Here is a 26,012-nt window from a genome sequence, read left to right on the forward strand (position 1 = left end):
AAGTCTGACTTGATTGATGAATTTCTGTGAAAATGTCCTACAAAGGCAAAAAATGAAACAAAGGCACAGCTTTATCAGTCCCTTTATAGCACAGATAGTACATGGAACTCTGACCCTGGGGCCCCTGCAGGGAGGGCCTGCCACGTCTGGTCTGGTCTGGCGGGCTGTGCACTGGGGGCAGCGAGACAGCCCCCAGCACTGGGAGGGGCACCCGGAGAGACCGGAACTCCTGACAGCTTTTGCTGCCCAGGGGGGTGCGTTAGCAGGTGTGTGGGGGCCGGCCCCGCCTCCCATCCCTGCATCTGTTGCCAGGTGGGGTCCTGGGGCGCAGTCAGGCCTGGCTCTTCTGAGGTCGTGTTTAGTAGGGGGACTGACCATGATTGTGTCAGGTGACAGTATCGGGGAGAAAACGGAGCTGGTGGAGGGGAACTTGCGAGGGCGTGGCTGGGAGCCGTCTGAGCAGCTGGTCATGGGCGGCCTCTCAGCAGGGATGGGCTGGGCGTGGGGGGGCACCCAGTTGAAGAAGGGCAGGTGGGAGGGGGTTTGGGGAGGGATTGCCATGGAGGGACCTCAGATTTGGTGTCAGGTGTGGGGAATTGGGGCAGAGGAGGCACAGTCCTGAAGTGTTTCAGGTGGGTCAAGAACAGCCCTGAGCCAGGCGGAGTTGGAGAGAGAAGTGAGGGGCATTGGATGGGGGGGTCCTAGCAGAGCTGAGGGGTCTTAGTGGGAGTGGGTGGGGCGCTGGCAGTGGGGCCCTCGCCTGGGGTTGAGACTGTGCAGCACGAATGGGCCCCAGGGGAGCGAGGCTGGGGGTATCCAGGGTGAGGACTGAGCGAGCAGCTGGACTCTCACATCCAGGCTCAGGGTGGAGGGTGCCAATCTGGGAGGTGGGAGGTGCCGGAACCATCACCCTGAGTAGACTGGCATAGCTGCAGAGCTCTAGATGGAGCAGGCTGTGTCCCCTGCCCTCAGGACTCTATGCTGGTATCAAGTTCTTCCTCATTGATTTCATCTTTAAACGCTGCCCGAGGCTGCGCGCCAAGTACGACACGCCCTATATCATCTGGAGGAGTCTCCCCACCGACCCGCAGCTCAAGGAGCGCTCCAGCGCCGCAGTCTCACGCAGGGTGAGCCCGGCCCCCAGCTGCGGGGATGGGGGGATGGGGGGCCACGAAGCCGGGCATCCCCAGGCCCACAGTGCTCTGTTCACCTCCGGCTCATTTAGAGGCTGTTTCTTCAATTTTATAGACTCCTTAAACTTGAGGGTTTTTTTTTTCCCTGTTACCACTGCGGTTTCTGAGGCTCATCCAGCCCCTCCCAAGCCCAGGGCAACACCTGGGGACTGGCCATGATGACTGAGAGCCAGCAGGCCTGGGAGTGACCACTCCATGGGGGTGCCCGGCCCCTGCCATCCCTGACAGTGAGGCTCTGGCGCTGAGACCAGGCAGTTTGAGAAGGGCCCCCTTGGAGCCACAGCCTGGCACTGGGCCATATTTCATTCACAGTCACAGGCCCTCCAGATGTGCAGCACAGCATCCCAGCCAGGACCACGGGGAATGAGCAGGCCTCGGTGCTCCCTTCGGGGTGGCTCAGATGAGTCAGGAGGGTTGCTGGGCTCTCCCCACTGAGGTGAGGTGGCCCTGCCTGGAAGAAGGAGCCGCTCTGGGCCGGAAGGGACCTCGGGAACGTCTTCCCAAATTTGGATCCCAGCTTTTGGGGAGGTGTGTGTGCGGCCAGCACATCTGGGTGCTGCAGGCGTGGGCAGCGGGCCTGACCTCGACGCTGTTTGCCGTTGGCAGCTGCAGACGACCTCGTCACGGAGCTACGTACCCAGCGCACCGGCCGGCCTGGGTAAAGAGGAGGACGCCGGTCGCTTCCACAGCACCAAGAAGGGCAATTTCCACGAGATCTTCAATCTGACAGAAAACGAGCGTCCGCTGGCGGGTATGTGTGCCGTGAGTCTGAGGCCAGGCCGAGCGCCGACACAGACTGAAGGCCCGTGAGGGGGGCGCTGTGGATGCAGGACGGGGTCGCCCTGTGACAGGCCAGAGGAGCCCTCAGGATGGCATTCACATCCCACTGCCCCAGGAGGAGTGCAGGAGCCAGGGGTCATGAGGACTCTGCGGGCTACAGGGGAGGAGGGCGTGCCCGTGGGGAGAGCCGCCCACGCTGCAGCACTCCCCTGACAGCAGGCGTGCAGGCAACACACTGGGGAGAGAGTCCAGGGCGAGGCCTCAGGGCCTGCAGGGCGCTGGCAGGGGGTCTGCCCCTGGTTCCATCGTGTCTGGAGAAACAAGAGCCACCAGGGGACAGGTGACTCAGGATCCTGGGGACAGGTCAGCTTTCCCAAAGGGAGGGCCTGTTAAACTAAACCGGGCAGCTCGAGGTGTGTGATGAGCGGCTGCAGAGGCAGCTGCGGAGAACGGAGCTTCGTCCTCTGCTGAGCCCTGGCCCTGCCGGTCTTGGTGGAGGTGGTGTCCCAGCGCCCTGACCCTGCCGGTCTTGGAGGTGGTGTCCCGGCCACACTGTGACTTCTGTTGCTCCCTGCTCTGCCTGGGTGCTTTTACTTTAAAAACCCTGCCAGTGCCTGTTGAAGAGGAAACATCTGTTTTCCACCCTCTGGGGCCACCTCACTCTTGCCGGCGCGCCTTCCTCTCACTGTGGGTGTGACGTGAGCGCGGTGGGCGGATGTCAGGATCTGAGAGTCAGGCTCCTGGGTCCCAGCGTCAGGTCAGAGGCTGGGTACTTCCAGTGGAAAGTGTGACAGGCGGGCCTTCTCCCATTAGTGTGCGAGAATGGCTGGCGCTGCTGCCTCATCAACAGGGACCGGAAGATGCCCACGGACTACATCAGGAACGGGGTGCTCTACGTCACGGAGAAGTGAGTGCAGCCGTGGGGCCCTGTGTGGCTGCAGGGGAGGGGGCGCAGGAGGCTGCCTAGGCCCTGGGATGGCGTGGCTGGCCCAGTGCAGGTTTTCCTGAGTGGTGGCCATGGCCTCTCCCATGCTCTGCTCTTGCCGGCTGTCTGGGCTCCCAGGGAAAAGGTGTTGTCTCCAAGCCGGACGTGGCCTGGGCTGTACTGCTGCCATCCCTCAGGCTGGCGGGGATGCTGTCTTCTCTGGGGCCCAAGCAGTTCATGGAGACGAGGGGCAGAGTCTCCCAAGGAGGGGACCGTGTGGGGACCTGCTATTGCTGAGGCCCTGAGTCCTTGTTGCCCTGAGTGCCTCATGCAGAGCAGTGGCCGTGAGTGTCTCACTCAGAGCAGTGGCTGTGAATGTCTTATGCAGAGCAGTGGCCGTGAGTGTCTCACTCAGAGCAGTGGCCGTGAGTGTCTCAGAGCAGTGGCCGTGTCTCACTCAGAGCAGTGGCCGTGAGTGTCTCAGAGCAGTGGCTGTGAGTGTTTCACACAGAGCAGTGGCCGTGAGTGTCTCATATAGAGCAGTGGCCGTGAGTGTTTCACCGGTTCTGTGTCTGCTGGGAAGGGAGCACCACTGTCCATCCCACTGGGGGCTGAGAGGCAGCCCCGGGAGACCCCCACCTGGTGGGAGCGTGCTCTGGTTCAAGAGCCAGGCGACGCCTCTGTCCGTTCCCCTTCCAGTTACTTGTGCTTCGAAAGCTCCAAATCTGGGTCCTCAAAGAGGAACAAAGTCATCAAGCTAGTGGACATCACGGACATCCAGAAGGTTGGTGCACCTACCCACCCCCACTAACCCCCGTGTTTTCTTCGTCACCTGACAGAGGCTGGCGAGGCTTTCCCTATAGACTTCTGCCAGCCTCTGTCAGCATCTGGGCGCCGCGGCCACGCTGGCCGGCCATGGTCCGTTTCCTTGACTTGAGTCCCCATGTCCCTGTGGGTCTGCCCCTGCCCTGGGGTCCACTTGCCTGGACCGTGTGTCTCAAAGTGGAGGGGCTGGGTTGGAGCCCAGGAGGTCAGGACCCAAGCCCCACTCTGGCTGCTGTGTTCCCCTCGTATCTGGGACCCTCCCCATAAAGAAAAGCACAGGGGCCCTGAGCCCCTGCCTCGGATGCAGGTTTTCAGGTGGGAGCTCAGATGGTCGCGCCCGCTCTGGGCATTTTCTCAGCATTTTACCGTAGCATGGAATGAGCAGGTGGGCGTGGCCACAAGTGCCTGTGGTCCCTTGTTTTCTGGGGCAGGGAAGGCTCAGTGAGGCACTGGCAGGCACACTTGGCCCGAGTGGTCAGGGCCCCCAGCTCCCTCCCAGCTCCGAGCGTCCTGGGCATGTCCGCATTGGCACGGCGGGCACTCCCGGCCCCACGGCAGTTGTGGGTCATCTCTCCCACCCGGCTCTGGAAAAAAGCGTGCAGTCAGGTGACCAGAAGGGGTGAGTTCAGGGCTGGGGTCCTTTCCGCCTGCCTCTTGGGATTGGCGGTGCTGACAGATGGCCCTCCTGGTGCCAGGCCCTGAGAGCGAGTTCTGGGGCTGAGTGCCTACCGTCAGCCTCCTCAGGCCGGCTTGTCTCTGACCTTCCTCAGGCCAGCTGGCCGACGGTCTGGGCTGGGGTGGGACAGACCCTTTACAGGTCTGGTGTCTCGGCCACAAAGTGAGGAGGTGTCCACAGGCCCTTACCTTCTGTTGTTTGGAAGTCCCAGGTGCCCGTGGGCCCTGCTGCCTGTGTGCCCAGTGGAGGAGGATGCCCTGGGCCTGTGGAGGGCTGTGCCTCCCTGTCCCCAGGAGAGACCTGTGGTGACGGCCACGCTTTGCCTTTCAGTACAAGGTCCTGTCTGTCCTCCCAGGCTCAGGCATGGGGATTGCCGTGTCGACGCCATCCACCCAGAAAGTAGGTGCCGGGCGGGGGGCCGCCAAGGGGTTGGTGTGGGCCCAGGGGCCTGACTCTGAGCAACCCTGGGACCAGCGTGGGGCAGACAGCCAGAGTTTTAGTTTGGGCAGCAGGGTCACAAAGCCGCCCCCTCCCTCGCAGCAGCTAGAGCCTGGGGCTGCGTCCAGGTTGGGTTGGAAATCTTGCTGGGGCCATCGAGTCACCGGACAGACAGGGATGTTGGGCACAGGGGTCCCCTGACTCAGTGACTTGGGAGGAGGGAGGCACGGGGCTAAAGCCTGGCTCCCCTCTGCCTCTTGGCTCTGTTCCCCTGAAGGCTGGAGCCTGGCTCCGGGTGGTGGGGAGACACCTGTCTTTTGCACCCAGACCCACGTGACTAGCGTGCTGGCCTGGGGCTGGTGTTGGACTTCGTCTCGGTCCTGGTCCTGGCGCCAGCCTGGCTGTGCCATGCTCACTGGTGGCATTTCTTCCCTGCCAGCCGCTCGTGTTTGGTGCCATGGTGCACAGGGATGAGGCCTTCGAGACCATTCTCAGCCAGTACATCAAGATCACCTCAGCGGCAGCGTCTGGCGGGGACAGCTAGTATTGACTTGCCCAGGACGTTGCTGGAATTTTCTTTTTCTTTTTCTTTTTCTTTTTTTTTTTTTACGATTTGGTAGTGGAAACAATTGGACATCCTCATGAGCTTTTGCAATAATTCTCCTGGACCTGTGGTTCTATTGTGTTGACCTCTGCGTTTTATCGACCAAGAAGGGGCCAGGGCTCACAGGGACGGGGGTGCCCCTCTCCCACAGGGCACGTCAGGTGCCTCTGAGGGCCACCCGCAGACTGGGGGAGGGGGCAGAGGCCCTCGGGGGCCCGTGGAGAAGACACACAGGACCCCTGGCCCTGCCCTTCTCCGTTCCAGCCTGGACAGAGAAACCTCTCCAGCCACCCCAAGAGGTTCTCGCAACCTTGTGTCCCGCTCTCCAGAGGCCAGAAGCTCGTCCACCACCAAAGCCATAGCTGAAGAGTGCGGGGCCCTTCCTCCTGGGGACAGAAAGATGTCGTCAAGGAGGGACATGGGGGCCTTTCACCAACCACCGAGAAACGGGCCTGGCGGCCCTCCTTCCTCTTACATGAGACCCTCCTGTGGCATTTGCCCTTGGTGCCGGGCTGGGGCCGGGCGCAGTGACCCTGCCTGCGCTCCACACTCGCTCCACGGGAACAGAGAGGGTGAGAAGGGCCCACCCCTCGCCTGCCCTCAGTGTCTTTGGTGGCACCTTCCTTGCTGGCCTCCAGGGCGCTCAGCACCGCGTCTGTAAGGGCCTGCCTGCTGCTCTCGGCCTGACACGCCGGCCAGGAGGTCTGTAGCTGGGGACCAGTAAGGGCACAGGATGGTGCAGGTAAAAGCACATCTTTCTCACACTTTGCTCTTTGGAAGGCCCAGGAGAACATCCGCGAAGGCTGTTGGAGGTGCTCCGAGCACTGTGGCATGTCTGGCACATGGCCCCCAGGCTGCGGTTGCCTGGGTTGGTTGGGGGAGGAAGTGGGGAGGAGTGTTCCGGGACCATGGTGGCCCAGGCTGCAGCCGCCTTTGGGCCATCCGAGAGGCTCTGGCAGCCCCTGTGCTTTAGGGAGCAACCGTGAGCCGAGCCCAGAGGCCTGGGCCTGCACTGCCTGCAGCCGACATGCGACAGCGTTCCCTCCCCCGCGTGCCTAGCCGGTGCCGGTCCGGGCACAGACCCCCCCAGCCCCCGCCCTGCCCCAGGGAAGCCTGGGCTTCCCGGGAACAAGGTGGCATTTGTGGAGGGAGCGCCCGCAGGCCTGGTCTGCTGGGGCCGCCTGCGCTGGGCTGAAGGGAGGGAAAGGCGGCTTGGGCCTCCTGGAAGGAGGTGGCCACCCCGCGGGCCTGCGTGTCTGCTGGGGCGGATCCCGCAGCTCCCTCAGCTTGTCCTGAGTCCCTTGGGTGTCGTTGAGATTGTTGTTTTTTGAAGAAACAGAAGATTCTATTTTTTACAGCGAGCAAGCTGGTTTTCTTATTTTTGTATCCTTTTTCAGATGTAATTTTTATCTTTGCTCCGATCCTCATTTGCTGGTGTGGGTGAGGGATCCGGCGGCATGGGCTGGTTTCACCCCCTTCACGAGGGGCCGCAGAGTCACACGCTGGTGCCGGGGGTGCTTTGGGGGGAGCTGCGCCGATCACCAGATTAAGCACATGTCCTATCCCAGGCGGTGGAGCGGAGCCCCCGTGGCTCTGGACTGCGCGGACGTTGGCGTCAGGATGACCACACGGCGGCCTTTCCCGAATGGGGACAGAACCCGCTCTGAGCCGTGGGTCTGGCTCCTGTAGGGGACTGGCTCTCTTGGTGCACCAGGGGAGGGGGACATATCCCAGTGAACCCCACCTTGGCGCCTGAGGCAACACAGGGTGGGCACTGACCCACCCCCAGGGGCGGCTGCAGAGGCAGTGCCCGCAGACAATGGCCACACCTCTCTCCCCAGGGCCCGGCAGTGCCCAAGGATGGGTCCGGGGCCTCGGGGCCAATGAGCGCCTCTTCCTAGGTGCTGGGATTCAGTCCCCAAACACAGCGGGAGGGGTCCCTGGGGCAGATGGGGCTTTACCAGCGTCGGGTGGTTTAGTTCGAGTCCCTTTTGTGGAGAAAGGGAGATGAAAACTGACCACGTGCCAGGTGTGGCCGAAGCCCCCAGGGAGGGCCACATTCGGGGAGCGGGGGGTCGGGGGAGGGCCACCGACTGGCTCTGCTGCCAGCACAGGCCCCTCCCTGGAAGTCCTCGGGAGCGGAGCGCGGATCGGCACGGGCTCTGGGCTCCCCGTGGAGAGAAGCTGTAGTTTTTACCAAATTGTGTACATCTGGGCAGATGTTTAATTTCTGTGACTAATCACTGAACTAGACGAATGTTAAATTTTTTATGTCTGAAGCCTGAGTCTATTTTGGATCTGTAAATAATCATTGCCAGTGTGACTTTTGTTCAACAAAAGGATTGTACTGTATTAAGAACCGATGAAAAAAATTCTCCTGTAACATTTTTTTAAGAAAACTTTGTTTGTTTAAAGAAAAAGTATTGTATAAATTATAATTTTTATTTAAATAAACCTAAAATGCTTTGTGCTAAGGCTCAGGGCTGTCTGCCTCCTTGGCAGGGCCACACGCATTGTAGGCGGCCTGAGCCAGCTGGGCCACCAACCCCAGGCCCTCAGTGCCGCTGCCAGCCCGCCACTCCCTGGGGCCCCACGGCTGCCGGCGGCGGGGCGTTTGGGTACTGATGCGGCCTGAGTGACGGCTGTGGGGTGAGGTGGGGCTGAGAAGCAGAGTCCTGTTGGACGTGGGCATTGGAGGCTGGGAGCAGGGGGCAGGGCCTGAGTTCCAGAAGACAGGAGGCCAGGTGGCGAGGGACGCGGCCTGCAGGGAGGGTACCCAGGGCTGGCACAGGGCGAAGTGGGGGAGGTTGAGGCAGAGGCAGTGCCTTGGGGTCAGGGGGCATGCAGGCTTTGGCCCCTCTCCACTTTGGTGTCCTGGCTGCCTGGGGGTTCTGGACACAGGGGTTTCCAGCAACACTTGGGGCTTGGTCCATCTGGATGCTGAGACTAGACACAGAAGGGTGCAAGGACCTGCCTGGCTTTTGAAACCCCTGGAGTTGGGCATGAGCCTGTGCCAGGTGCACCTGGTGCTGCCTAGCCTCCTGTGCCTCAAGCCCACAGGAGCCCCCTTGGAGGCAGAGACCTCCCCAGGTTACACAGCAAGGGAGCTGGAGCCAGGCGGAAACTAGGTCTAGTGGGCCACGCCACCCTAAGGGGCACAGCTTCGGAAAGTAGGACATATGCGTACTCCATCGACATAGCCAGCCACTGATCCATCCATTCATCCACATCTGTCCGTCCGTCCGTCCGTCCGTCCATCCATCCATCCATCCATCCATCCATCCACCCACCCATTCATCCATCCACCCACCCATTCATCCCTCCATCCATTCATCCATCCACCTACCCACTCATCCATCAATCCATCCACCCACCTATTCATCCACCCATCCATCCATCCATCCACCCACCCACCCATCCATCCACCCACCCATCCATCCATCCACCCACCCATCCATCCATCCATCCACCCACCCACCTATCCATTCACCTACCCATCCATCCATCCATCCATCCATCCATCCATCCATCCATCCATCTTTCCACCCACCCACCCACCCACCTATCCATCTACCTACCCATCCATCCATCCATCCATCCATCCACCCATCCACCCATTTACCCACCCACCCACCCACCCAGCCAGCCAAGTCCTTGGTGCTGGGACACAGCAGTGATGGGCTAGGAACCTGCCAAACACACCCTCACATCCTTCCCAGGAACACATCCATGCTGTGATAGCCACCGACCCCTTCCACCCACCCCTCTGTCCTCTGCAACAGGTCCTCCCCCAGCTTGCTCCTAACTTGGAACAAGGCTCAGACCTACCTAACCCGTTGGCAGCCCACACTGACCCCTCCACACAGACAGGGGGCAGTGTGGGCCCATGGCAGGTGTCACTGGAGCCGGGCCATGGAGGAGGCGGAGGGGCCTCCCAGGGGCTTCTGAGTGCTCAAAAAGGCCAACCTTGTGGGAGACCACCCACCCTCGGCCCACAGGCTCTATGCCTAAACCAACAACTTGCCTGTTTTGCGTATATTTCACCATTTAGTGTCAATAAAGGTGCCTACATATACCTCTATCACCATTTACGGGTGATTGTGATAACTATTTCAGTGCAGCTGGTTTCCTTGGCAATCGTGCATGTTTTAATGCATGCATTTTACCTTACTCAGCGGCATCTCTCGGCTGTACCTGGCTACCAGAGGGGCTGTGCAACAAGGAAAGGTCACAAACCTGTGGGGCAGGCCTGGTGCCCTCTAGGACTTTTGTTCTGGGAGTGATGGGGCACTGCAGAGCTTCCAGCAGAAGCTGGCACTCTGGCTGCAAATCAGAAGAGGGGTCACCCAGGGTGGGGGTGCGTCAGGGAGAGTCCAGAGGGGAATGAAATTGTTAATGATTTTATTCTTGAACCAGGGGTTCTCTTCATAGGTACTTGCTATATGTTTTTAAATATTTACTGGATGAATGTAACGGATGAATGAGTAAATAAATCAGAGAGGGCCTCACATGGACCAAAGTGAGTGACGCTGGGAACCCAGGGTTGTGGTCCATTCTGCTCGTCCTGCAGAACTCCAGGAGGCAGCATTCTATGGGCTTATGAGCTCCAGCAGTGTTTGGAGGACAGGGTTGGCCAGAGACTACAGGAGCCACAGACTAAGGGCACAGCCAAGGAAGGACCCCAAGACCCCGTCCTGTGTTGGTGTGAGCTGGGAAAGCCGCCCAGGGAAAGGGCTGTGCAGCCACCCAGTGCTGCTGAAATCAGAAATCTGCCCTCAAAACCCCTGGAACCAGGAAGCCCAGCTCTGCCCTCCTCCTGGGGCCCTCGGGTCCACGTCAGCTGGAAGGGAGACACCTGGGATCACAGAGGGGCAGCTGGGGTGGGGCTGGAGCCAAGAGGCAGTGATGGGCAGCTGACCACTCCCTCAGACAGGAGCTGGCCCATGCCCCTGCCATCCTCTCTGCTCAACTCTCTACCACATGTCACAGCTGGCATCGCAAGCTAGGGGAAATAGCTGGACCATGCACGATTGTAAAGAAGACATTCAGCTGTTACTATCTGTAAATGATATGATGACAGAAAACCCCGAAATTCACAGGTAAATCATCATCATAGGAGTGTGGAAGCTGCTGGTACAAAATGAGTCAGGGGAGGCCGTGAAGAAGCTCTCGAAGACCTGCCTGTAGCAGAACTCACCCCAGAACCCTCGGGACTGCGACGAGGGCGCCCGCCCAGTGACGGCCACTCCTGCGGTGAACAGTACTGCCTCCTGCCAGGAGCTGCTGTGACCTGTGAACTTCGTTCTAGAGCAGCTTACATGGACTTCTTTGCCTTTTAAAGTGTTGCCTTTATCGCGAACACCCCCCAAAATGCCTTCCAGTGTAGCACGCATATCCTGACTGCAATCCCCTTGCTGTTCCTGAATAAACTCTTTCTTAGGAGAACACTCTGATGTCACTTTAGGTTGACGGGAGGCAAGGTTTCTGGATATAACCCAACACATAAAAAACAATTGTGGCGGGCAGATCACGAGGCCAGGAGTTTGAGACCAGCCTGGACAACATGGGGAAACCCCATCTCTACTAAAGATACAAAAAACTAGCTGGGCATGGTGGCATGCACCTATAATGCTAGCTACTTGGGAGGCTGAGGCAGGAGAATCACTTGAACCCCGGAGGCAGAGGTTGCAGTGAGCCGAGATCACACCATTGTACTCCAGCCTGGGCAACAGGGCGAGACTCCGTCTCATAACAAACAAAAAATTGCATTTCTATGCAAAACAAAACAAATTTTAAGATAGCCTCAAAGGCCAAGTGTGGTGGCTCACGCCTGTAATCCCAGCGCTTTGGGAGGCCAAGATGGGAGGTTCACTTGAGGCCAGGAGTTTGAGACCAGGCTGGGCAACATGGTGAGACCCTATCTTTACAAAACATTAAAAAGCCTCAAAATAAGAACTTTTGGCTGGGCACAGTAGCTTACTCCTGTAATCCCAGCAGTTTGGAAGGCTGAGGCAGGAGGATTGCTTGAGCCCGGGAGTTCGAGACCAGCCTGGGTAACAGAGTGAGACCCCTGTCTCTACAAAAAATTTTAACAAAATAGCCAGGCATGGTGTTGCACGCCTGTAGTCCCAGTTACTCAGGAGGCTGAGGTGGGATTGCTTCAGTCTGAGAGATTGAAGTTACAGTGAGCCGTGATCACGCCACTGTACCCCAGCCTGAGCAACTGAATAAGACCTTGTTTAAAACAAGGTTAAAAACAAACAAAAGTCAAGTTTTAGGAATAAATCTAAAAATTTAAAGACTTTCATGGAAAAAATTATAAAATAATTAAAAGACATGAATGAGGATCTTTCATGGACCAGAAAAGTCAGTTTCACAATGCAAATGTCCTTTCGAAGTTCCTCAAATACAAATGCAAATGCCCTCTCAAACATGTGGAGTGGGCCGGGCGCAGTGGCTCACGCCTGTAATCCCAGCACTTTGGGAGGTCGAGGCTGGTGGATCACGAGGCCAGGAGCTCGAGACCATCCTGGCTAACACAGTGAAACCCCGTCTCTACTAAATATACAAAAAATTAGCTGGGCGTGGTGGCGGGCACCTGTAGTACCAGCTACTCCGGAGGCTGAGGCAGGAGAATGGCGTGAACCCAGGAGGCGAGCTTGCAGTGAGCCAAGATTGTAGTGAGCCGAGATTGCGCCACTGCACTCCAGCCTGGGTGACAGAGCGAAACTCCGTCTCAAAATAAATAAATAAATAAAAATAGACATGTGGAGTGAAAGAAGCAAGTTACAGAAAACAACACGTTTCCTTTGGATAAGGAGCAAAACCTGCAAAACTAAACTCGCTGTTGCAGATACAGCCATGGACAGAGGCAGGAAGGGATGCGCTTGGCGTGACCTCGTAGCGCCCTCCCAGGGGGAGCGGGGGGACTCCAGAGCAGGGCACAGAAGGCTTCGGGGCGGCGTTCAGTTGCCTGGCATAGGTGGTGGTGACACCTTGCTTCATTTTATTCTTGTTCTTTAAATTGTGTGTGTTTTCATGAAAAATATTCTGCTTTGAAAATAACAGGTATGTGTAAAGGAAAGAAAGCAAGCCAAGTCTGCCCAAGTAACTTTATTCGTGTCTTCTCAAACATTTCAGATCAAATAATGCCATTTTCTAATCTTGAAACCAGCAAGATTAGAAAGAGAATGAGGCCATCCTTTCACTCAGACTTTCCCAGTTACTCAAGATTGTATTCAGGAACGAAGTCAAACTCGGCCTCACTTCTTAATTAGAATAAACTAGAATCAGGTCCATTGCATAACTGCTAATTGTTTTGCACCAGGGAGCCACAAAGGAAGCTAAAACTAGCCTTTCTAAGTTATCCTAAGTTTTTACTATCTAACCAGCACTTCTGATTTTTTTTCCCTTAAAACTCTAAAGTACAGGTGTTGTATGTCTGCCGCATCTGAAAGGCTGCCCCGGAAATCAGAGCCTATCTAGCGGGAATGTCTGGGCAGTCACCCCCATCCTGCGCGCAGATAGCAAAGGGCTGCTGGCAGGTGTCAGACACACGGTACCGCAACAGCAGTCCCGAGGTCTGAGATTCTGAATGTCAGCAGGTGGCTGGAGAGTATCACCAGAGCCACTCAGGAACCAGCCATGCGGAATGGCTGGGTTTCTTATTGAACATGAAATGCTTCCTCTTTGGCCTGGACTGTTTTGCTAAAATTGTTAGTGGGTTTTGGGGCAGGCCAGTGTATGGGAAACTTTTTTTTTTGTTGGGGGGGGCGATGGAGTCTCCCTCTGTTTGCCCAGGCTGGAGTGCAGTGGCGCAATCTTGGCTCACCGCAACCTCCACCTCTTTCTTGGGTTCAAGCGATTCTCCTGCCTCAGCATCCCTAGTAGCTGAGATTACAGGCGTGCGCCAACAAGACTGGCTAAGTTGTGTATTTTTAGTAGAGACGAGGTTTCACCATGTTGGGCAGGCTGATCTCAAACTCCTGACCTTAGGTGATCCACCCGCCTCGGCCTCCCAAAGTGCTGGGATTACAGGCGTGAGCCACCGCGCCCAGCCGGGAAACATTTACCAGGGACAATAAAGGCTTAGAAGAACCTTTTGGGGAAACTTTGTGAGGAGCACAATTCCAGAGGGCCCACAGCAGCCACAGCCTCCTGGCGTGACACCAGGCACACTGCCGGCTGCACAGGTTGCTGGGCACAGGCAGGCACAGCCAGTCTGGAAGAGCAGCCCGTCTTAAATCTTTGGTTTCTTTCCAACCAGGAGCAAACATTGGTAGAAAGAGCCAGGGCATATTTACTCTTTACACCCAGAATTTTCATTCATTATTGAACCATTTGGCTTGCACAGTGCTCTCTGATAATGTGGTCCATAAAAACCACCATTAAAGCTGCCCTTTCACCTGATCTGGGTGGGGCTAAACGAGGAAACGAGAAGTTTCCTGTATGCTTCAAAATATAAATCAATGCCAGGAAATTCTGAAAATGGATGCTGCCTGTTAAACATGAAATCACTAAGGGAGCTTCTGCAAAACCCACCCGGCAGCATGAGGAACGGTGTCTACAGCGTGCTCCAAACGGCCACGGCCCCGCTCCTTACAGATCAAAGTTTAAGCCGCATATTCTCATATTTCAAACAAAACTACGTTACAGACATCATCTACGTGGGCACGGATACACACTAAACAAGGACGTAGTACACAATTGAGGGGTGCCCCGGGGAGCGCGGCAGGAATGCCTTCCGGGAAGAATCCTCTGGTCGCCGGAGCCCTCGCGCTGCAGAGGAAACCAGCGATCCATCGTGGCTTCGAGGCAAAAGACAGACATCCGAGACGCAGTTTACACTACTCTGGCTTAAAAGGACAAGATGTTCAATAAATATAGAGAACTCAGTGTGAAGAAAAGACAAGGACAAATCTGGACCACGTGTACAGACTTCAGGCCCTGCCTCAGAGGAGTCCTGCGGGAGTCCAGGACCGGCCCCTCCTCCACGGATGGCCAGCTTCCTCCTGACTGCCCCCAAGCCCGGCTGTGTTAAGCACTTCGCGTCGATATAAAGCATTGGTATTTGACATTTTAACAGTAACAAACTTGCCAGTGCTTTACACACTGCCAGCTTCCAGAGCTTATCATCCGTGCTCCCAGAACAGACGCCAAGGTCATGCTCCCAGCCGGATTGTCGTAGCCTCGCCGCCGTGATGAGGCAGGTGTGGAGGCCCCAGCAGCCTTCCCGGCGCTGGCGTGGAGGCCCCTCCCGCGGATCACCTGAAGCAGGGCCACGTTGCATTGCAGTTGCACAGTATTGTAAGGATCAAGCAGCGATGTCCTAACCGTAAACGAAGAGGAAGGTGAAATGAAGGCAAAGAGAATCAACCACTTCCCAAAACTTGGCCACAAACCGTTACAGAATAAGTCCTGCAAAGTGGATCAAAGTGACCCACTGCTACCTCAGGCCCAGATGGTGTGACCTGCGTGGAAATCATATAATGTCCCTAACATTATTGCAATAGAGCCACTAACGGGCCATTTTCTAAACTACACTGTTGACATCGTTAAAACCTAAGAGGCCAGTGCCCCCAAGTGAGCAGCTGCATCCGCTGAGAGTAAGCGGCGTGGGCTGCAACCCGCAGATGCGTACAGAACTGAAAATGCCAAATATGTACACAAAATTGTTGACAAAAGGGTTTTCTTCTAAAATCAAGATTTAACTATCAAAAATAAATTTCTACATTTAAATGTATATATCAACATAATTGGTCTGTAATAATTATCTTAAATAGTTTTCACACTTTCCCAGTTTGTGAGCAGGACGCCGGCTTCTCAGCTGTGTGAGTCTGGCTTCGGATTCTCTTCAATTCCTCGTGCAAAGAGTCGAACCAGCTGGCAGTGGACTCTGCAGAGACAAGCGGCCACGTGTAAACCCCACGTGTCCCTCACTCAAAGCTGGCCTGAGCCCCACTCCTGGACAGGGGCTGCAGTAAACCCCACGTGTCCCTCACTCAAAGCTGGCCCTGAGCACCGCTCTTGGACAGGGGCTGAAGTGGGGGTCCATCCCCCATGGAACGGTCAGACGTCACCGTGGGCTGTAGGAGTCCAGCCCACAATGACGGGCCCTGGGCGTGGAATAATTCACTTAGACTCCCGGGATGCCGAGTTTGTAAAGGGGTTGCCAATGGCCAGGTGGGAAATCTGGGCATCGGTAGACCTGACTCGAACTCCAGCACCCCCATGGAAAGCAGAGCGTCCGCTCCAGTGTCTGCCCACTCCACCCACCCACCCACCTCCATTTTCTCAGCAGTACTGAGCGCGCAAGGCCTGCGAGGAGTCTGTGCGGGGCGACTCAATGCGTGTAAGAGATGTGTGAGGAATGCTCAGATGAGAAGGACAGGTGGCCCAACGCCAGCAAGAGCCTTCGGGCTTGAGGAACAAGTTGGGGGTCCCTGGAGGTCCCCTGCCCAGGGGCTCGGTGGCCACAGTGAGTCCGTGGGTGAGTGCCATCTTCCCACACAGGACAGCTCTATTTATCTCATTTATTAATGATATCACAGCCTCCTCAGACGTATTTCAGTAACCTAAACCCCTTCATTAAGTGACAGGCTGGGGCAGGGCACAGTGACTCACGCCTATAATCCCAGCACTTTGGGAGGTCCAGGCGGGCGGATCACCTGAGGTCAGGAGTTTGAGACCAGCCTGGCCAACATGGTGAAACCCCGTCTCTACTAAAAATATAAAAATTAGCCAGGTGTGGTGGCGGGCGCCTGCTACTTGGGAGGCTGAGGCAGGAGAATTGCTTGAACCTGGGAGGCAGAGGTTGCAGTGAGCCGAGACCTCGCCATTGCACTCCAGCCTGGGCAACAAGAGCAAAACTCTGTCTCAAAAAATAAAAAAATAGAAATAAATAAGTGACAGGCTGTTTCCATGGAGCTGAGCTCACACACACACAAATTATATTTTTAAAAGCGACGTGCTGCTCAAGGCATAGCCATATTTATCAAGATAGACAGGACGTATTTCAAGAATGCCTGTCCTGATTTTCAAATTATTCTATTTCTTTAATAAATACATACACCAATATTAAAAATAATCCCACTTCCCAAACTTGTCAAATGAGTTGACAGAGGAAAGTCCCTGTGCACGGCTGCCTGGGGTGGCCGGTGTTCCTGGGACCTTTCGACAGCCTCTTGCCATCACCACCGCCCTGACAGAAAGAAAGGGGGCGCGTGGCCCTGGGCCTGGGGAGGGGCAGAGACCTCCTCCCTTAGGCTTGTTCGGATGCGAATGGGAGAAGCTTTCTTAGAGCCGCAGCTGGCTGGCTGAGGAGTCACTGAAAGTGGGGCGCTGTCCACAGAGATGCGTGCATCCTCTTACATGCTGTGACTTAAGGCACCCAAGGGCCATCTGACACCCAGCTTTCGTTGCAGACAGGCGTGGGCCTGCTGACCAGCCTGCTATCGCTCTCACGCCAGCCACACTCTGTTAACGAGCGTCAAGCTGGGCTTCCTTGAAGTAGACCGAGCTCTTACCAACATCTGCCAAGAGTTCAGAATCCACCTGAGCTCTACCGTTCCCCAGTCTCATGTAATTTGCACGCCCACACCTAATTCAGTGGCCTTTTGAAAAAATCAACTTGCTTGTTACTGGGTCTTTCCATGGAGAAACAATTTTCTTTGCACTCAGATTCCATCTGGTTATGTGATACATCACAGACTTCCAAATACAATGGGCCCCAGTGGGTGTGGGGAGGACACCACTTCCCACCCTCCGCCCAGCCAGCCAGAGGAGGGGTGTGGCACCTGCCCCAGGGAGACCGAACATCCGTGTGTGGCCACACCTGCCTCCCCGCGTCCCCTAGGCTGCGTGGCCTCCAGCACGGGGCGTCCCTCTGGGGCTCCTCCTCTCCTTCCCATCCTCGGGGTGCCCTTCCCAGCCCTGCTGCCTCCTGCCCCTCCCTGCACGGAGCACCTGCACTTGGTGATTGACTGTGGCCCTTGAGGCCAGCGGTTCCCTGGTGGATTCAGTGGACAAAGGACTGCCTGTAAAGGCGGTTTCCTTTGTTTGCCTTTTGAAATTTTTTTGAGATGGAGTCTCGCTCTGTCACCAAGGCTGGAGTGCAGTGGCATGGTCTCGGCTCACTGCAACTTCTGCCTCCTGGGTTCAAGCGACTCTCCTGCCTCAGCCTCCGGGGTAGCTGGGATTACAGGCATGCACCATCACACCCGACTAATTTTTTTTGTATTTTTAGTAGAGACGGGGTTTCACCATGTTGGCGAGGCTGGTCTTGAACTCCTGATCTCAAGTGATCTGCCCGCCTCAGCCTCCCACCTTTTGAATTATTTAGGAGAAGAGAGAGAGAATGCCAGGGCAAAGAGCCCAATGCCAGCCTGGAGCACAGGGTGTGGAAGAGGAAAAGAATGAAATGGAGGAGCTTCAAACACCCATGAAAATTATCTGCAAAACAAAATGCTGAGGACTCGGCACCCTGGCATCTTTCCAGAATGTGGGTAACGGCATCTCATTCGATATTTGACATAGGGAGAGAAAAGTGCATTTATAAAACATTCTTACGTTTTGTGTTTATAAAGCCCCAGGGAACCCCCCACCCTGGGTGGGGCAGCTTGTGACAGACACCTCAGGGCTCAAGGGGATGGCGCTGGTGGCTGGAGGACCCCTGCACGCACCTGACCTCGATGGCAGGGCTGTGCAGGACCTCCCCGTCGCAGTTCCAGGAGCTGTTGGAGACGGTGCAGCAGCAGGAGGGGTGGCTGCTGCAAATGTGCCCAAAGCGCTTCTTCCCCCCCTCCTTGAGGTCGCTGTCCTCATCCTCCATGTGCTTCGACGTAAACTGGAATTTCTTGACGCGATAAACTTCAACAAAAGTGAAGTCAAACTACCAAGAAACAGTGAGAGGGACCATTCAGCTCTAAACGTCATCGTCTGGGTGGGGCAGCAGAACACCCCAGGCCTGACAGCGAGCGCTGTCAGGCCTGGGTGCACACACGGCCCTTCTCGGAGGATGCGACTGCTTGTGCAGGCCCCTGGAGTTCCCTTTCCAGCTGAACTGACAGCTCAGAGATGAAGGGAAACCTGGCACCCACCTTTCCCGGCGCCCACCTTCCCCGGCGCCTACCTTCCCCGGTGCCCACCTTCCGCGGCACTTGTCAAAATGACTTCTAATGCTTTTAGAAACCACAGCTTATCTACAATGACGAACGCTTTTTACAGAATTCTGATAAATAATTAGCAGTGATTATTAGAATTTTGTATTCTCTTTTTAACAAGCACTACTTAAAAAGCCACATAAAAATAGCATTAGACTAGATCTTAAATAGAACTTAAGTAAAAAAAGAAATGTGACTAAATTTGGAGACTGTGACCAAAAGTTCCGCTTCCCCCAACATGACTAGACTCGGGTCTTCCTCTGCATAGGCTACAGAAAGATGTGGTAGAAGGGTCCGAACAGAACCCATTTCTGGGAGCCTAAAGAGTCTATTTTCAGTGGCCTGCAAGGGCCACTTACATCTTTACTGTGTCGCTTTGTTCTGTTTTTAAATAGGAAGAGAAACAACGGGTAAGAAGTTGTATTATAAAGATTCATACCTCTTAGTTTCTGTGCTCAAATACATGTGTGTGTATATGTATGTATGTATGTGTGTGTATATGTATGTATGTGTGTATATGTATGTATGTGTATGTATATACACATATATGTATATATACACATACACACACATGTATACATACATACACACACACACACACACACACACACACATATATTTGAGATGGAGTCTCACTCTGTCACCCAGGCTGGAGTGCAGTTGCGTGATCTCAGCTCACTGTAGCCTCCACCTCCTGGGTTCAAGCGATTCTCATGCTTCAGCCTCCCGAGTAGCTGGGATTACAGGCGCACGCCACCACGCCTGGCTTTTTTGTATTTTTAGTAGAGATGAGGTTTCACCATGTTGCCCAGGCTGGTCTCAAACTCCTGACCTCGGGTGATCCGCCTGCCTCAGCCTCCCAAAGTGCTGGGATTACAGGCATGAGCCACCGCATCTGGCCTCAAAAATTTATCGTTTTAAATGATATTTTACAAGGAGTAGTTGTAACCAGGAGTTTAAAGTTTGTGAAATTAAAAAAAAAAAAGTTTGCCCTTCCTTCCCTTGAATTAAATAATGAATTCCTACAACACATAAACCAGGGACTGCTGGAACATAAATTACTCGCCAGTGGAGGCTCCATGCAAGAGCACCCCACTTACCTGGTCCTGCTGGTTGGTGTGCCTGATGAGAAATCTCAGAAAATTGAACCTGGAGCATTTCCGGATGAGGATGAGGTCAGAAGACCCGTCTCCCAAGTGGGCAGCCGGGGAGAGGCCCCTGGGGCTCCGGCGACAAGCACAGGACATGTTTGTGGCATTGATGGCCAGAAACTTCCCACAGACGACTTGCCACTCCTCCACGTCCTCTGAAGCACAAAGAACCACGGAGATGTCACAGTTACAATGGCGCCGGGCAGCGCCCTGCACCAGGACGGTGGGAGGCCATTCGGGCTCTCACCTGCTCATGCATTTAGCAGACACTTCATGCAATCGACTCTTCAGCTCAACACCAAAAACATCCACCACGGAACTGTCCGCTCCCCGCAGGAAGTGGTACCCAAAGGATCACCTCCCAGAAGGCAGGACTGTTGTCCCTCTCCTCACTTGGTGACTTTTGGACAATTTAGAACAAGGGTCAGCAAACCAAGGCTGTGTGTCAGATCCGGCCCGCCGCCCGTCTGTGTGTGGCCTGAGAGCTAAGAATGCTTTTCACGTTTTTAAATCCTTGAAAAAGGTCTGGCGCGGTGGCTCACGCCTGTAATCCCAGCACTTTGGGAGGCCGAGGCGGGCAGATCACCTGAGGTCAGGAGTTCGAGACCAGCCTGGCCAACATGGTGAAAACCATCTCTACTAAAAATACAAAAATTAGCCAGGCGTGGCGGTGCATGCCTGTAATCCCAGCTGCTGGGGAAGCTGAGGCAGGAGAACTGCTTGAACCCGGAAGGCAGAGGTTGCAGTGAGCTGAGATTGCGCCATTGCACTCCAGACTGGGCAACAAGAGTAAAACTCTGTCTTAAAAAAAAAAAAAAAAAAAAAAAAAATTAGCCAGGTATGGCGGCAGGCGCCTGTAATCCCAGCTACTCAGGAGGCTAAGGAAGGAGAATCGCTTGAACCCAGAAGGTGGAGGTTGCAGTGAGCCGAGATCGCGCCACTGCAATCCAGCCTGGGTGATGGAACAAGACTCTGTCCCAATAAATAAATAAATATTATTGACTGGGCATGGTGGCTCAGACCTGTGGTCCCAGCACTTTAGGAGGCTGAGGCAGTCAGATCACCTGAGGTCAGGAGTTTGAGACCAGCCTGGCCAACATGGTGAAACCCCATCTTTACTAAAAATACAAAGATTAGCTGGGCATGGTGGCACATGCCTGTAGTCCCAGCTACTAGGGAGGCTGAGGGAGGAGAATCGCTTGAACTCGGGAGGCGGAGGTTGCAGTGAGCTGATATTGTGCCCCTGCACTCTAGCCTGGGCGACAAGAGTGAAACTCCATCCAAAAAAAAAAAAAAAAAAAAGAAGAGAAAGAGAAAAAAATCAAAATAATAATATTTTGTGACATGTGGAAATTCTATGAAACTTAAATTTCAGTGTCCATAAATAAAGTTTCATCGGCAGATGGCCATACCCACTCACTGTACACTGCCTAGGCTGCCTCTGCTGGACAGAGACTGTGTGGTTGCCAGGGCCTGAGGTGGTCACCAAGCAAGCCCTCAATGGGACATCTGCTGCCCCCACATTCTAGAGCACCTGGGACAGGAGTCCAGACTCAGCACCACAACAGCGTTTCAGAAAGGGTAACGGGGCCTTTCACAAAACCCACTGCTCCACACAGCCACACACGGCAAGTAACAGTGACCTGACGCTGCCTGGGGCTAAGAAGAAATGGATGCCTGGTGCCAGACAGGAAAAAGGAAAAGCACAGGTGGGCAGGGAGAAGAGGCAGTGCCCTGAGAGAGGACAGAAACCCGCACTCCAGCACACACAGTGACAACACTGAGCCTGTGTTTTAGGAATTACCCGCAGCTTCCAAACCATACAGTGCTTTCTTCTGCTCCTCCTCCAGCTGCTGCTTGCTTTGCCTGCAAACAAAGCATCTGAAAGACAAGAATATCATCACCTTTTAAATATGGAGCTGCAGGTGCAGTGCGTATGCTTGGCACATATAGATGTATTTACATTCTTTTCACATACGAAAAAATTCCATTTCAAAGGCTTAACAAAATATTTTTTGGCATATTAATTAGAGGTTTCAGAATGAGACCTACTTTTACAATGACACATTCAACATGTCCTTCTCTAAAAGGTTTGGACATGAGGAGAAGCACAGCATGAGGACGCTGAGGTGCCACCTGGAGACGGTTTCTGCCTGGCCCTCCAGCTAACATAGCCTGGCTGGGAGAAATGACTGAGGCACTGGTTCCCCCAGCGGACTCCTGGGGTGAGGACTCATTTACTTTCAGAAAACAAATCATACAGGGTTTATCTGTTACAGTCAATAACAAGCAAATAACTCAGAACCATCAGCTTAGAACTTAGTCATTCGTCTAGCACGTCCTTCTGATCTTGGGGGCTGCCGGATTCACGCTGTCAAACAGGACACTGTTTGCACTGATGGAAATCGCTCATCAGCAGCCGAGTTCTTTAATGCACTGACGCAAACAGCATCTGCCTCTACATATTCTGATTTTATGGTCTCCAATTCTTCACTTAAAAAAGGAAAGGAGCTAGAAGGAGGTTCTGAAGTCTGCATGACTTAAAAGGAAAGGACGTGAGTGTCCTTCACAAAGGCGCAGCTGTCTCCACAGCCCCGTGTCCTCAGCCCCAGGCAGAGCAGAGACAGGATGACCATTCAGGCGCCCTCCATGGTCACTAGGGAGGTCATGCGGCCTGGGACAACTATGTTTAGATTTATTTAAGGTTCTATTTACACTGGTCGCATATTACTGAATACACTGTGTGGGGGTGGGGGCGGAGATATGCCAGGTGAAAGGAGTCCCTGCTTGTTCAGTGGCGTAGCCACCATTGCAGAGCCTGCAGTGGCCAAACTGGGGGACCAAATGTAAGGGGAGAGCGCAGCGTTTCCAGCTGTGTTGTCTGCACTCAGCCTCCCCTCCCCGGTGGGGCGCCTCTTTCCCTTTGCATCCCCTCTCCCTGGGCAGCTGCCCTGGCTCTGCCCCCCAACCCCTGGCACCAGCCCTTGTTGCCAGCCCGAGCCTTCTTGCTGAGGGTCCCTGCCTTCCTGTGGGGTTGAAGGCGTGGCTGGCCTGGGCTCTGCTAACCTTAGAGTGGGCTCCTGCCTTGGAGCATGGGGCTAACATGGGTGAGGGTCTCAGCCAGGGGTGTGGACAGGAGGGTGGCTGCTGAGAGTGCACACTTCAGCCAGCTCTACCAACGGTCCTGCCACCAGTGCCCTGCACACGCACAGTCACTGATAAGGTGTCTGCCATCCTTTCCTGCCTGCATTTCTCCTCCATCAGGCCCCTGCAGGGGGTAAAGGGAACCCCAGCAGGGAAAGACCCTGTGCTCAGCCCCCACTCCAACAGTGGGTGTGGGACCCTCCCCCAGAGTCCTCATCCCTGGCACAGCAGCAGCTGCCTGCGCAGGCCATGGGGACAGAGATGGGGACAGCAAGCCCCATGCACGCCTAGGCCATCATGGGCATCATAGGCATCGTGTGTCTGGGCACGCTACATCCGGCACCTTCCACCACATTTGGAAAATACTTCTGCATTCACCTTCCTAACCGTCCTGCTTCATTTCCCGTCATTTGCAAGAGAAACACACAAAGCAATGCACTTACCCTGCCCGGCAGGGCTTCCTATCCCTTGGAGATCCCACCGTGTGTTGTGCAGGGAGGAAGGACACTGTCCCTTCATAGCAGTGGTGGGAGAGGAAGGTCTTTAAACCTGGGAACAGAGTGCAGTGAAGAAAAAACATCCACAAGGGTCATTGCTTGGTTAGGATGCTGTGCTGGGCAGCTTCAGAAATGTCGCTGAGCGCGCATCTGCCTAAACCGTCTGCAGGAGGGAGAGGCCGGGCCTGCTTCAGGCCATGTCACCATTGAAGGCAGTGGCAGGGTCTCTGCCCTCCCTCAGGACAACAGCACGTCTAGTCATAGTGCTGGTGCCTTCTGACACCCAGTGATGCTGGGACAGCCAGGGCTATGGCCACTCTTGACGCTGGCAAAGTGGGGCCTTTGCCATTAGCCACCCCTCATAGCCTCGATGATGTGGCCTGTGGGCTCCAGTGGCTCAGGGTCATCCCCTCCACCTCTTCATGAGGGTCAGTGATGCCCCCACCTGCCTCAGGGCTTGGCCCCCACTGGGGTCAGCCACAGCCCCTGTGACGTCCTGAACAGCTCAGGACAGAGGCCAGGGCCGCTGCCACCCAAAGTCTGGGGCCACCCTCCAGGCAAACGTGTGCGCTGTCCACGGGGCTGCCAGCAGCCTGGCACCCGGGCTGTCTGGGAAACACCACCCAGCAGGACAGCAGGGACTGGGCAGGAGGCAGGAGAGGGGCCCCAGGGTGTCGTGGGCCACACCAGGAGCCAGGCCGTGTCCTGTGAGTCTCAGGGCGACTTCACTCCTCCGTGTCTGATGCTGGGGCTGGTGCTGCCCTGTATGACATCTGGTGTGGCAGTGACGGCCTGCAGGGCCGTCACACACAACCTTACCCCCGACACACAGAGGCCTCACATCCTCATCCGCAGATGGCAAGCCCACAGCCAAGTGTGCACCGCCCAGGGGTGGGGGAAGCTGCCGGCAAGAGCAGTCTGGCTCCTAGGACATCTGTGTGCCTGAAAGTCAGCTCCCGACTGTCCCTAGGACAGCCCCGTCTGTGGGTCTTGCACCTGGCATGGGCCAGGTGCCTGGAATGCACTCAGCGGGCGGGCCCTTCCAGGTGGCTGCAGCTCCGCCTCCCTGCAGAGTGGCTCTGGCCTCTCTCCCTGCTCCTCCCATGGGGGTCCCACAAGGACGTCGTGTCCACGGCCCTGGGAGGAGGCCGACCCACTGGTCAGCAACCTTCCAAGCCGGCTCCTCTCTCAAGTGCAGGGGGCAGGGGGGCAGCTGCCTCATCACCCAGACGCAGCCTCCAGGGTGGCGCCTCACCGACATCTGATGTCCCGGTTTCTGTCTGCCCCTAGATGGGCCCCAGATGTCCTACCGGCACCTAAAACTCCACGTGTCTCAACAGAGTGTGTCATTTCCACACGCTCATTCTCCTTCCATGCCCTCTGTGCTGCTCCAGAACAACCGGGTGCTTTCTGCCTCACAGCCACAGAACCCAAACCCGCTTTCCTGAGAGCATCTCAGGCCCTGTGGCCAGGATGGGGATCCAGAGACCCGGAAGGCGTCTCCTGCCTCGGGGCTCTCATCCTGGTGGGAGGGACAGAGCTGCAGCCACTGCCTGTGGTGATGGGCTGAGGGCAAAGGGGGGGGCCAGGCATGCAGGGGGGCTGCCCACCACCCCACCCCAGCAGGCAGGGACAGGGAGGGGGCATCCCAGGGGCATTCTAGGCAGAGCCACACTGGGCTCAACAAAGGGCAGTCGGGAGAATGGCACAACCCAAACCGCTTCCTAAAATTCTCGCGGCTTCTCTAATTTTCTCGGTATTCCCTTTCTTAATAAGCCTTAGATAAATACCTCACTTTGCCATTTCTTAGGTTTTAATTTTCAAGCCACACTAGTTTTTAATTTCATTAAATCTTTTCAAGCTTCGTAAAGTTTGCCAAATCACTATTTCTTTCTCTCATAAGGGTTAAGATTTTAGTATCAGGAATTACTCGATTTAATTTGATACAGATTTATCTGAAAGCGAACTGTAAAGAGGCGGGAAAGTCGACCGGGCAGCGAGAATGGCACACCTCATGGTCTACATATTTTCTTCTTTCTTTCTTTTCTTTTTTTTTTGAGACAGGGTCTGGCTGTCGCTCCAGCTGCAGTGCAGTGGCCTGATCTCTGCTCACTGCAGCCTCCACCTTCTGTGCTCAAGGGCTCCTCCTGCCTCAGCATCCCGAGTAACTGGGGTGCCCGGCTAATTTTGTTTTTAATTTCTGTGGAGATGGGGTCTCCCTATGTCGCCCAGGCTGAAATTCTACTTTTCTTTTTTTTTGAGACAGAGGTCTCGCTCTGTTGCCCAGGCTGAAGTGCAGTGGCACGATCTCAGCTCACTGCAGCCTCTGCCTCCCGGGTTCAAGCAATTCTCCTGCCTCAGCCCCCCGAGGAGCTGTGACTATAGGTGTGCACCACCATGCCTGACTTATTTTGTATTTTTAGTAGAGACAGGGTTTCACCATGTTGGCGAGGCTGGTCTTGAACTCCTGACCTCAGGTGATCCACCTGCCTTGACCTCCCAAAGTGCTGGGATTACAGGCGTGAGCCACTGCCCCTGGCCAATTCTATGTATTTTTAAAGTTCTCCTTTTCCAGCGTTTAAAAGCTGGTGACGTCGCACCCACTGCCTGATGTGTGCA

At 55.3% G+C, this 26,012-nt stretch overlaps 2 protein-coding genes across 18 annotated transcripts in view, besides 5 other annotated features; one reads left to right on the top strand and one right to left on the bottom strand.

The window, feature by feature from the left end:
- Nucleotides 1-10,886, top strand: part of GRAMD4 (GRAM domain containing 4) — a 107,013-nt gene extending 96,127 nt beyond the window's left edge. For 12 of the 17 annotated variants that reach the window (XM_006724169.2, XM_047441210.1, XM_047441208.1 and 9 more), the window contains 6 exons: nt 973-1,127; nt 1,800-1,944; nt 2,787-2,880; nt 3,598-3,682; nt 4,730-4,798; nt 5,277-7,915. In XM_006724169.2, the coding sequence (XP_006724232.1) occupies nt 973-1,127; nt 1,800-1,944; nt 2,787-2,880; nt 3,598-3,682; nt 4,730-4,798; nt 5,277-5,381 (653 nt within the window). In that variant the 3' untranslated portion in view covers nt 5,382-7,915. Of the gene's footprint in view, nt 1-972; nt 1,128-1,505; nt 1,777-1,799; nt 1,945-2,786; nt 2,881-3,597; nt 3,683-4,729; nt 4,799-5,276; nt 7,916-10,540 lie in introns of those variants that run through there. The other 5 variants (XM_011530012.2, XM_047441206.1, XM_011530011.2 and 2 more) reach the window with 4 other exon arrangements.
- Nucleotides 2,333-2,412: an enhancer, noted in NCBI's record as "active region_19245". NCBI's record gives its function as "activates an Ori minimal core promoter by ATAC-STARR-seq in GM12878 lymphoblastoid cells {active_cell/tissue: GM12878}" and the evidence as "EXISTENCE:reporter gene assay evidence [ECO:0000049][PMID:35858748]".
- Nucleotides 2,613-2,762: an enhancer, noted in NCBI's record as "active region_19246". NCBI's record gives its function as "activates an Ori minimal core promoter by ATAC-STARR-seq in GM12878 lymphoblastoid cells {active_cell/tissue: GM12878}" and the evidence as "EXISTENCE:reporter gene assay evidence [ECO:0000049][PMID:35858748]".
- Nucleotides 2,803-2,862: an enhancer, noted in NCBI's record as "active region_19247". NCBI's record gives its function as "activates an Ori minimal core promoter by ATAC-STARR-seq in GM12878 lymphoblastoid cells {active_cell/tissue: GM12878}" and the evidence as "EXISTENCE:reporter gene assay evidence [ECO:0000049][PMID:35858748]".
- Nucleotides 11,660-12,161: an enhancer, noted in NCBI's record as "H3K4me1 hESC enhancer chr22:47079427-47079928 (GRCh37/hg19 assembly coordinates)". NCBI's record gives its function as "activates a minimal SCP1, AML or CMV promoter by ChIP-STARR-seq in naive H9 embryonic stem cells {active_cell/tissue: H9 hESC(naive)}" and the evidence as "EXISTENCE:reporter gene assay evidence [ECO:0000049][PMID:30033119]".
- CERK (ceramide kinase) overlaps nt 12,540-26,012 on the bottom strand; it is a 53,843-nt gene continuing 40,370 nt past the window's right edge. Inside the window, exons 9-13 of the mRNA NM_022766.6 lie at nt 23,340-23,445; nt 21,557-21,633; nt 19,702-19,907; nt 18,122-18,330; nt 12,540-15,336 (exon numbers count right to left, since the gene is read on the bottom strand). Coding sequence (NP_073603.2) covers nt 15,264-15,336; nt 18,122-18,330; nt 19,702-19,907; nt 21,557-21,633; nt 23,340-23,445 — 671 coding nt within the window. The 3' untranslated portion in view covers nt 12,540-15,263. The remainder of the gene's footprint in view (nt 15,337-18,121; nt 18,331-19,701; nt 19,908-21,556; nt 21,634-23,339; nt 23,446-26,012) is intronic.
- Nucleotides 14,442-14,736: a silencer, noted in NCBI's record as "tiled region #6253; HepG2 Repressive non-DNase unmatched - State 17:Gen3', and K562 Repressive non-DNase unmatched - State 23:Low". NCBI's record gives its function as "represses a minimal TATA promoter and a strong SV40 promoter by Sharpr-MPRA in HepG2 and K562 cells {active_cell/tissue: HepG2 | K562}" and the evidence as "EXISTENCE:reporter gene assay evidence [ECO:0000049][PMID:27701403]".

This window comes from Homo sapiens, chromosome 22 (assembly GCF_000001405.40).
Source record: "Homo sapiens chromosome 22, GRCh38.p14 Primary Assembly".
NCBI classification, from domain to species: domain Eukaryota; kingdom Metazoa; phylum Chordata; class Mammalia; order Primates; family Hominidae; genus Homo; species Homo sapiens.